Source organism: Homo sapiens, chromosome 8 (assembly GCF_000001405.40).
Source record: "Homo sapiens chromosome 8, GRCh38.p14 Primary Assembly".
NCBI lineage: Eukaryota > Metazoa > Chordata > Mammalia > Primates > Hominidae > Homo > Homo sapiens.
The window spans coordinates 133,405,322-133,417,085 of record NC_000008.11 but is presented as its reverse complement, the minus strand read 5'-3'; the positions used below and the strand labels follow the sequence as shown (position 1 = coordinate 133,417,085).

The window sequence follows — 11,764 nt, the reverse complement described above, 5'->3', positions numbered from 1 at the left end:
GCACAGAGGAGGTGCCGAATACATAGGCGTTGAATTAATAATAGAAGTACTTTGACAAAAATGAGATACTCTAGATCACTAGAGTATCCCTTCAAATTTTAAATTAAAATGAAGAAAAGGAAATATCAATGAAATTCAAGAGAATGCGGAACTTGATAAAAATTTGTACAGCAAAAGATGCTATTTTCTGAATATTTTTTCTACTAAAAATATATGTCAATAGGAAAAACATTGAGGTTGCATTTCTTTTTTCTTTTCTTGATTTTGGCTACATGCTCCAATGTCAAGCAGTGGCATTAAGTTCGCACTACGTAAAATGAGAAAGCCTGTGCCCCTACCTATGTTTATAATATTCCTCTGTTTCCATCACCTAGTTATTGTACTTTTTATTAGTGATTTTTAAAATTACTTGCAGTCTGTTTCCGAGCCATGAGTCTCACGTTTGTTTTGAACTACTTCAACATTTGAATGAACTCAGTGTTCATCATTAGCCTATTTCTGGCGTTCTCTCCACCTCTATGTCCTATGCTGACAGTTGCCTTTCCTGTGTCCCTGGGGTAAGATATATGAGGAGCTAAGAATGTTTACGAGGCTGCAGCAGAGCCAGCGAGAGGTGTGAAATCTTAGGTTGAGCTACCCAAGAATCAGACTCTAACACAGGGATATGTGGCCATAGTTTACTCAGGAAATGATCTCAGGAAGCACCAGGAGCAAGAAAGTGAGGCAGGGAAGAGAACGCCGATGCAGAATGCACCAACGAGCAGTCACAACTGTGAGCACCATGGCTCAGTCCTATTGGGTGTCTCTGGGAGACAGCAGAGAGCTTGACTCAGCACTGGTGGGTGAAAGAGCTGGACGTGTATCCACCAAATCCTATCTGTCATTGTCTACGGGCTGCTCCTGGACTCCAGGGCTCCTCTGGTCTGCTCTCTGCACAGGACGAGCAAGCTTCTGCTCAGACATACATGCAGGTGCTTTGGGAAGGAAGCAACAGGCCGCTGAGGGCATCTAGACAGGACATTGACAGCATCAGCTGCAGGCAGGATGCAGAGAATTTTTCCTAGGTTGCTGTTGCCTATGGGTGAGCATCATATGGGCCCTGATGGATTGCATATCATCCTGTCCCAGCCTCAAAACAACTCTTCCACTTCTGATCATTTTGGATGCAATGGGAAGAGTAACTCTAGCCTAATGGGCTCAGAGACCCTCCCCCCTTGCTAGGTGATGGTTTTCTGGGAGGAATGCTCATTTTTCAGCTTGACAGAGGGAGCCCTGAAGCCAGCTGCCACTGCAACCATGTCCCACTCATGCAGTTCCCCGTCAGTGCAAGTGGATGTCTGTCTTTCTCCTCCATTTTTATGACACTAGAAGTAATCCTTGCCAATTAGGTAAAATATAGGAAACATAAAAATATGCAAAGAAGGAAGAAAATGCACCTGGAATCTCATCAGCCAAATATAAACATTGTAATTATTTTTGTAATTTATCTTTCATATTATTTTTATTGCACATATGTTTTACATGATTGAGGTCATTTTGTACATACAGTTCTCTGCCCTATTTTTTTAACCTAATGCATCTTTGTTGTTGCTGTTATACAGGTTGAACATCCCTAACCTGAAAATCCAAAATTGGAAATGCTCCAAAATCCAAAACATTTTGAGTGTCAATATGATGCCACAAATTAAAAAATGCTACACTTGACCTCATATGATGGGTCACAGTCAAAACTCAGGCACACAACACATAGTTTCTTCAGTGTCCCCAAGGGAAAAAAGATCCTCCCAGCCCTGTTTAGCCATGATGTATCTTTTCTGAGTATGCCCAGATTTTCTCATGAAAGCAAGCACACAAAGGATAATTACCTGACATGTGTGCAGGCTGGAGGCACCAGCAGCAGATTCTCCATGATGCACCACATGGGGCCAAGACCATCATGCATTACTCATGGTTTATTTGCTTATTTTCTGCTCTGTAGTGTAAAGACATTGATGAAAATGTCAACAAGGCCTCCAGATACCCCTATGGATAAGAATGATAAGAAAAAGAGAAAGCATTTATGCTTATAGCACAGAAAGTCAAAGCTGTTGGAGAAACTAGACAATGGTGTAAGTGTGAAACGTCTTATAGAAGACTGTAGTGTTGTAATGTCCACCATATAGAACCTGAAGAAACAAGATGATAAGTCATTAAAGTTCTATGCTGAAAATGATGAACATACATTAAAAAAATAGAAAAACACTAAATTTTTAGCATCAAGCTGAAAATGAAGGTCTCAGTTATGTTTTGAAAAAAGTGGATCTCTCAGCATTGCAGTGAACACATGCCACTTAATAGTATGGTGATCGTGAAACAAGCAAACATCAATCCCAGTGAACTGCAAATCGAAGGAAACTGTGATAATTCAACAAAATGGTTGCAGAATTTGGAGAAAAGACATGACATTAAATTTTTAATGATTTGTAATGATAAAGCATCTGCTGATGATGAAGCAACAGAGAAATTAATTGATGAGTTTGCCAAGGCCATTTCCAATAAAAACCTGATGCCAGAACAAGTCTGTGAAGAAGAATATACTGAAGAAACATCCTGGTTTTTGTGTTATTGCCCAGAAAAATATTGACTATAACTGATGAGACAGCCTCTACAAAAATTAAGGATGCCAAAGACAGAATAGGTGTGTTGAGATGTGCTAATGCAGCAGGCATACATAAATGTAAACTTAGTATGATAGGCAAAAGCTTGCATCCTTGCTGTTTTAAAGGAGTGGATTTCTTACTAGTCTATTATTATGCTAGGCGCTTCCCCAGTTGAGCCTCTGATGAGAACACAGCCAAAGTCACCTGGATTTCAGCTTCATGAGAACCTGAAGTAGAGAGCCCAGCTAGGCCATGCCTAGACTCCTAACTCACAGAACCTGATGTAATACAGGCATGTTAAGTTGTTAGGTTTTGGTAATTTCTTATACAGCAATAAAAATTGTGCATAAAACTTCCAGCAATTTACCTTGAAGGGAAAGAGTGCCCCTTCTCACCTGCCCCACCCTGTCGTTGATGTGGAATGTGGATGTTATCAGTAGGGCTTAGAACAGTGCTTAATACATGTTTCACTGGAGCTATATAAGCTATATAGGCCATCTTGGGCCATGACACCTCGAAGACAGAAGCTATATACTGAGGGAGGCACACAGAAAACAGAAACTTGGGCTCCTGGTGAAACTGCTGTGTGGCCAGGCCAGCCTGGGCTGCATTCCTCTGGGCTTCATTTGCATAAGAGAGAAATAACTTTCCTCCTGTCTAGGAAACTACAACTTGGGGTTTTCTGTTACATGCAGCAACCCCTAATGCTAACTGATGCAAAGGTGAGGTGGGTTAAAAACTCAGTCTTGGAATTGGCTGACCTGGACTTGAATCCTGGTCTGCTATTTTCCATTTGGGTAAATTTCAAAATTCCCTTTACTCCTTTGAACTTGAGTTTCCTTATGTGTAAAATAGAGATAATCATAGTCTCTATTTTGTAAGTTTGTGGTAAGAATTGAAATAAATAATGTAAGTAAAGAGCTGCACACTGCACCTAGTCCAAGTGTTCAATAAATATTAGCTACTATTATTCTCATCTATAGTGTTTGTTTAATAAAATGCATGGAGTGGCTGCTAAATGCCAGGCACTATACTAAGTGGCTGGAGAAATGGCAAAATTCCTGTTCTCAAAGAGCCACAGACTTAAATGAAATATTGAGATTAAACAAATACAACAGTCTAGTAGCTCAAGTGCCATGCTGGGAGATGTGCAGGCTCTGAGGGCACCAAGAGCTCTCACAGTGAAAGGGATGGTTAAAGAAGGTTCCACATAGATTAAACTCCCTAACCAAAAGACATAGATGGACCGAACAGATATTTTTAGAATAGGATCTAATAATATGCTGCCTATAAGAGACTCACTTAAGCTCTTAAGGACACACATAGGCTGAAAGTAAAAGGATAGAGAAATATATTTTATGCAAATTGTAACCCAAAGAGAGTAGGGATAGTTTACTAATATCAGACAAAACAGACATTAAATCAAATATTGACACAGGAGAAAAAAAGAAAGACATTATATAGTGATAATGGGGTCAATTCAGCAGTAAGACATAACAATTATAAATATTTGTGTACCAAACATGAGCGATTCTAGATATATGAAGCAAACATTGGCAGAACAGAAGGTGAAATAGCAGAATTCAAAGAAGTTTCCATGGAAGAATTAACATTTGAATGGAGTTTTGAAATACCGGAAAATATTTTCTTAGCTAAAGAAATGAGATAGCAACTAGAATATCATATAACACATACCAGGCACTGTTCTAAGACCTACCTATAAAAATTCATTTAAACTTACCCCTGCCCTTAAGAAGGAGGTATATTATTTTCCTCATCAGAGCAATGATGAAACAAAGGCCCAGTGAGGTTAAGTCATGTGTCCAAGACCACACTGCTAGGAGATGGAAGAACTGGGATTATGACCATTAACGCGTGCCCATGTAACCATTGCTCTCTATCATCTTCATGGGCTTGGCATGGTGGGCAGAGGAAAGGGTTGGAGGACAGGAAATCCAAAGTGGATCAGGAGCTAGAGACATCTCACGTGGCTGGAATAAGAGGGGATGTCATGGGCCCATTGTGGGAAAGGGCATGGATGGAGCTGGGAAGGCCTGGTCAGTCATGCTTAAAGGCTGAACGTTTAGCCTGAGATCAATAGAAAGCTTTCATGAATGTAAAGCAGGGGAGAGTTAATGTTCAGCAGCCTAGCTTTTTAGATCACTCCTGTTCCAGAGGAGAAGAGTCTGGAGGCCAACAGAGAAGGGTACAGGTAAAATGTAAAGATGGTGGCTGGGTGTGGTGGCTCATGCCTGTTGTATTCCTAGCACTTTGGGAGGCTGAAGTGGGAGGATTGCTTGAGCCCAGGAGTTTGATACCAGCCTAGGCAACATAGGAAGACCCCATCTCTACAAAAAAAAAAAATTAAAATTAGCCAGGCATGGTGGCACATGCCTGTAGTCCTAGCTACTCAGGAGGCTGAGGTGGGAGGATCACTTGAGACTAGGAGGTGGAGGCTCTAGTGAGCTGTAATTGCACTACTGCACTCCATCCTGGGTGACAGAGCAAGACTGCCTCAACAACAACAGAACAACAACAACAAAATGAAGATGGTGATGGGTGAAGACAGGAAAACATGATTTCCAGAGATATCTGAGTTAAATAAATAACTGAAGGCTCAGACCATTAGCACTAAGAATGCTTTCGTGGAAATGAAAGCAGTAACAAAATCAAAGCTAAAGGGAGCGGTCTTTGCATGAGCTCTCTGTATCACACACGTTCTGCTCTCTTCCAACCCTGAAGTCATAAATGGGGTGGCCTCTATGATCTATGAACTACCATGATGCATACAACTGTGGCCAACTTTCTCAGGAGGATTCCAGGCTCTGCTCATCTTTCTCCTGTATTTTCTCTAACATTTTCTTTTTTTTTTTTTTTTTTTTTTTTTTTTGAGACGGAGTCTCGCTCTGTCGCCCAGGCCGGACTGCGGACTGCAGTGGCGCAATCTCGGCTCACTGCAAGCTCTGCTTCCCGGGTTCACGCCATTCTCCTGCCTCAGCCTCCCGAGTAGCTGGGACTACAGGCGCCTGCCACCGCGCCCGGCTAATTTTTTGTATTTTTAGTAGAGACGGGGTTTCACCTTGTTAGCCAGGATGGTCTCGATCTCCTGACCTCGTGATCCACCCGCCTCGGCCTCCCAAAGTGCTGGGATTACAGGCGTGAGCCACCGCGCCCGGCCTTCTCTAACATTTTCTTAAAGGCAGCTTAAGGAACCTGAAAACTTGCATTTGTTACATCCAGCATAATATTCTTCCTCTGAGTGTTTGCAACAAGTCCAAACAAACATCATCAACACATGCCTTATCAGCTATTATGAGTCAGAACTGCCAACCTAAATGTGAAATAAACAACCAAAGGAGCAACCATGTGGAGCAAACAGCACCACACAGGGTGGAGAACATGCTCCGCTGGGGAAAGTACAGTAGAGCAGCTCTTCAGTGGAGCATGGGCAAAATGCAATATCAGGAATCTTGCAGAATCAAAGAGAAGGCCGGACAGGCAGGCTCAGGAAAAGGCTGGAATCAGGAGCTCCAGGGCTTCAGTGCCGATGTCTCATCAGGGCCTACATTAGATTCCCCTTGCTGTTGTAATAATTACTGCAAATTTGGTGGCTTGAAGTAACACAAATTTGTTCACCGATAATTCTTCAGGTCTGAAGTCTAAAATCCAGTTGTCAGCAGGTTTGCTTTCCTTTTGAGGGCTCCACGGGAGAATCTATTTTCTGCCTTTTCCAGCTTCTAGAGGTTGCCACATTCTTTGGCTCATGGCCCCCATATCAAATGCCCTTTTCGCCCTTGCTTCCATCATCACATCACCTTCTTCTAGTTCTGACTGTGATCCTCCTGCCTCCCTCTCCTAAGGACCCTTGTAATTATATTAGTCTACCAGGTCAATCCATATAATTTCCTCAACTGCTATAGTCTGAATGATTTTGTTCCCCCAAAACCCATGTGTTGAAACCTACTCCGTACAGTGGTGGTAGTAAGAGGTGCAGCCTCTGGGAGGTGATTAGATCATGAGGGCTCCATCTTCATGGATGGGATTCATAAAAGAGGCTTGAGCAACCTGTTTGCTCCTTACACCATGTGAGGAGACAGCTAGAAGTTGCCATCTATGAATCAGAAAGCAGACCCTCTCCAGACACTGAATGTGCTGGAGCCTTGATCTTGGACTTTCCAGCCTCCAGAACTGTGAGAAATACATTTATGCTGTTTATCAGTTACCTGGTATCAGGTATTTTGTTATAGCAGCCCAAATGGACTAATACATCACCTCAAATCTTAACCTAATAACATCTGCAAAAATTTTTTGCTGTTTATTTATTTTTATTTATTTATTTTTTTTTTGAGATGGAGTCTCGCTCTGTCACCCAGGCTGTAGCACAGTGGCATGATCTTGGCTCACTACAACCTCTGCCTCCGAGGTTCAAGTGATTCTCCCGCTTCAACCTCCTGAATAGCTGGGATTACAGGTGTGGACCACCACGCCTGACTAATTTTTGTATTTTTGGTAGAGACAGGGTTTCACCATGTTGGTCAGGCTGGTCCCAAACACCTGACCTCATGATCCACCCACCTCAGTCTCCCAAAGTGCTGGGATTACAGGCATGAACCACCGCGCCCGGCTTTTTGCCATGTAAAGTAACATATTTACAGGTTCCAGGGATTAGAAACATGGATATCTTTGGGGGCTGTATTCAGATGACCATGGGGCCAATCACTGGAACAAATGACCTCTGTTCATTCCTCCATCTCATATATTTCTGCCAGAGATTCAAAGTCTGGTAAGATAGTGTAAAGGGCCTGGCTTTGGCCAAACACCGACAGCTCATCCAGGGGTGTGTATCCCATCCTGACTTATATCCCACCAAACTGGCCCACAAGTGAGGGAGAATAACTCTTTAAACAAAATTCTTCTTTTTTTTATCCTCAAATGAGTTATGTTTGCCTCACGCTAATAACTTTCACTCAAATTAGAGCAGTAATCTTCCATACATAAGTATATTCCCTGCCCAATAATTCAAAGAAAAAAAATCCAAAATGATTAGTAAAGAAAAATATAAGAATTAACAGACCCTTTACATTTGTTTTAAAAAGTGTTTAAAGTTTGTAATTCCTAGTAGTAAAACATTATCTGAATGAATACCCTAATGGCAAACCTAATGGCAAACTGTAAAATGCTTCAGCTGTATTTGGGGGAGAGGGGTAGGGATTATCTTAAAGCACCCCAGCTCTCTTGATGAGAAGGTACATTGGTTTGTATTATTGTGACATCCATAAGGTGATCTAGGTTGCTTTTCCTTCAGCAAGGGCTTTATTTATCAGAAGGGCATTACACTTGACCTCCAAATTTGGCTGACAATTTACTGATGAGATTCATAACCTTTGGGTTGCTCTGGTATTTTGACACATTTGCTGGGTTCTGAGCCACATCCTGGAAGGCCACCATAACTTCTGGATCCTGCATGGCTGCAAGAACCTCTGGATCACTAAGAATTTCATTGAATCCAGGCATTCCAGCCATTCCAGACATGCCCCCTCCCATTCCAGGCATTCCTCTGGGAAAATTACCAGGCATTCCCCCAGGAAAGCCACCTGGAAAAGAGCCATACTGAGCTCCTGACTGTCGTCTGGCTTCTTCCTCCCTCTGGGCTCTCTCATGCTCTTTTCGAGCCTTCTTAACTCGTTCTACTCTTTCTTTGATCTCTCGCTCTTCATGTTTTCGCTCATACTTTCTCCGATGTTCTGCAATTTTCTGTGCCCTATGTTGAACTTCTTTCAGCATTGCACTAGCATCTTCATCATAATCCAATTTACAGGCAAGGGCAAGATCATGGTCTGCTTCTCCCCAGTGGCCTAGAAGTCTGTGTGCTTTCCCCCGCCACTTGTGAGGCTGAGCTGAATCAGGATTTATTTCAATGGCTCTGTCACAGTCTTGGGTGGCAGCATTTGGCTTCTGTAATTTGACGAAAACACTGGCCCTCTTGGCATACAAAATGGCCAAGCGAGGATTCAGCTTGATGGCGTCTGTCAATAACTCAATGGCTTTCTGGAGTTCACCATCATTTAGGGCTTCAATAGCAGCCACTTTTTTATCATTTGCCTGATCCATCATCTCCTCCGTTATCTCCGCATTTTCATCTCCCATTTCTTGAGGAGCATCAGTGTCTGGTTCAATCACACCTTCTTTATCAATTTCTAGATCACTTTCCTCACTTGATGGTTCGTCTGCCTTTAAGTCTTCCTCCACCTTCTTACTATCAGGTTTTTCTTCCTCGGTATTTTCTTCTGATTTAGCTTTCTGAGTAGCAGGTGGTACTTTACCTCCCATGCTCTCCACCCACTCCCTCAGGAAGCGCATTTCCTCGGTGTGCAGAATGCTCGGATCCTGCTTACACATTTTCACAAAGGCCCGAAGCTCGTTCACTTTGCAGGGGTCCATGGTAGGGAGGCGGTGGGCGAAGCTGGGGGGCTGCGGCCCGGTTCCAGGCCCAGGTGCTGGCTTGGCATGACCACGCAGAAGAGGGCGGCTGCCGCGAGGCAGAACAGACTAGAACCTCCCTGGCTGCTGGCTCCTCCCACCCAACGGTCTCGTGACCCCGAGTCCTCCGCCTGCTCATTCCTACTCCCTCTGCGCTGCTCCTGTGCGCTCCCTAGAATCTTCTAGAAGCGTGGCTGTTCGTGCTGTTGCCTGCCTCCCTTTGCATACATTCTCATATTCTTAACTAGGAACCAGCTCCCTGGATGGGGCAACCCCAGAAATGGGCGCCTTCAAGGAGGTGGGAGATAACATCCCCTCTAGGAAGCCACGTCCAAAAGCATATTGTGTGGCTGCATGCACTGAGCAGAGCTCAATGCCCGGACCCTCTAAACAAAATTCTTGTCAGACTCTAGGGGGAATGGATACTGAAGAGCCAAAACATGCGCTGCCTCCATTTGGGTTGGAGAAGAGGAGGTTAACGTATGAGGAGAAGGACGTTATAGCTTTCTGAAAATATGCAAAGGCCACGCTGGCTCTGAGGATGTCACAGCTGAACAACCCCTCAGAGGTCACTAAGCCTCTGCTTGTTCAGGGGAGAAAGTTGTGGCCCAGAGAGACCAGCAAGTGAGCAGCTGAGCAATCGTGTGGAGAAGAAAGAGAACTTTCTGGATGAACACAGAAATAGGGCTAGAGCCAAGAACTGTTGCAGGAGACACTGTGGCAGAGTGTGAAAAAGGCTGTCCACGGCAACAACAACCAGTTCTGTCATACCGTGACCACTGACGTCATACCAAGAGCTGTGCTGCACGCTCTCGGGCATGGCTCACTCGCCCTTTAACACAGAGCAGGAGCTTCATCACTGAACCCATTTTACGTGCAGGAAATGGGGAAACTGAGCTCAGAGGGACTGAAATATCTTACCCAGGAGACCCAGTAAGGAGACAGCGAAGTGCAGAAACCCAGCTTCGAGAGACTTTAAAATCCATGCACTAACTAAAGCAAATGTTAGGCTACTTTGTTTTTTTCTTCTCTATTTTGTTTTCCATGAAATTCAAGGCTGGGTGGGTAAAGAAAGGAATTTGATAAACTTGCTCAGGCCTGGAACTTTTCCCAGATCCCTGGGGGCAGAGAACCAAGTTGTGTAGACACACCCTCTTGGCCAGAAAGTTCTTTCAAACAGCCATTCCAGCCTGCTCAGTTCCTGTTTGTACCACTAGGAAAGGACCGCCTTGAGTTTGAAGTGGAATGGAGGAAACTGGCTTGCATGGAGGACTGTGCTGCTCCTGACTCCAGGCAGGGTGTGTCTTCTCTTCAGTGCATCCCTGAGCTGGGAGTACCAGAGACTGCAGAGAAGTTAAGCAACCCACCTGAGGTCACACAGCAGGGAAGAGGGGATCCCAGGACACAAAGTTGATTCTTCCAGACCTCAGAGCCCGCATAGCCTGCCTCCTGAAATGACTCTCAGAACAGAAGTGGCCTTGGGATCAAGGAGCATGAACCAAGGACTGGATCTGGGGGGCTGGAGGAAGACACCCTCATTCTACTCCAGACCCAGAAAACATCTCTTTTCTCTGGCTTGCGATGGCCTGAAGTTTAATGACTCAGAGGGGCCCAGAAAGAACTCTGCCCCAAGAGATCTCAGCTTGTGAGCAAAACAAGAGTCTACACAACACATTGTTTTTATTGTTTTGTTCCCAAACCAACAAAGCAATGTTGAGCCGGCAGCCCCAGCTTGCTCGTTTGTAGAATGAGAGCTTTTGGACTGGGAGAACTGCGTGCAGGGGCTGTTGGCTAGAAACAGCGCAGGATACCTGTAGGAGTCTCGTGGCTTGGGTCTTGACTCTGCTACTAACTCACTGTGCGACTTTGGCAAGTCGTATCCCTTCTCTGAATCCAGCATCCTTACGCATTGGAGAGAGGGGATGGGAGAGGGTTCAGGAGATTGTCCTGTAAGTGGAGTCTTCTCAGAGTCCTGGTCTGAAAAAGCCTGCACCTCTGAAGAGGTCAACTCTGATTGTCCCCATGACCCTTTGTGCCTTAGCATGAAGGAGTTCATTGTGTCTCCCTCAAAAGCATGTTTTGATCTGGGAAGATAGGTAGGGTCTGCCCCTCTATGGGACAGGTCACCAGATAGAAGTGAATCCTGGATCAGGGGCTCCTGCTGTTCCAGTGGGTATAGGAAGGTCTCCCCCAGCCCACCCAGCCCACCTGTCAGCCTCACCCAGGGTCCATGTCACGTCTGCCACAATAACTTCTTTCAGTTTATCAAACTACTTTCTCACCTCTGGGTCCTACTCCAGGTAATACAAAAATCCAGAGTCCCAGTCCCTAGCCTCCTCATGTGACCCAGGCCTCAGTTTCCTCACCTGTTCATGGGGCACTTGGGCGAGCTGCAACTACACCATGCTCATATTAGAGGACCCCATTACCCAAGGGGAGGAGGCAAGAGAGAACGCAGGAAGCTCCTGCAGTCCCTGCCCTTCCAGTCCCTTCTGCATGGTGGCTCGCGGGGCCCAGCGCAGGAGGCACCATTCTGCTCTCATTACTGCTGTGACCTGTGATGTGTTTGGGCAGAGTCGCCAAGTGAGAAAAGTCATAGGGCTCAAGCTCCAAGACTTCCTTTAGGAGTCTGGTGAAACCCATTG

General features: G+C 44.7%; 1 pseudogene, besides 1 other annotated feature; it reads right to left on the bottom strand.

The window, feature by feature from the left end:
• On the bottom strand, nt 7,561–9,422 carry ST13P6 (ST13, Hsp70 interacting protein pseudogene 6; annotated as a pseudogene).
• Nucleotides 8,689–9,240: an enhancer, noted in NCBI's record as "H3K27ac-H3K4me1 hESC enhancer chr8:134420089-134420640 (GRCh37/hg19 assembly coordinates)". NCBI's record gives its function as "activates a minimal SCP1, AML or CMV promoter by ChIP-STARR-seq in primed H9 embryonic stem cells {active_cell/tissue: H9 hESC(primed)}" and the evidence as "EXISTENCE:reporter gene assay evidence [ECO:0000049][PMID:30033119]".
• Nucleotides 9,423–11,764: the final 2,342 nt, after the last annotated feature.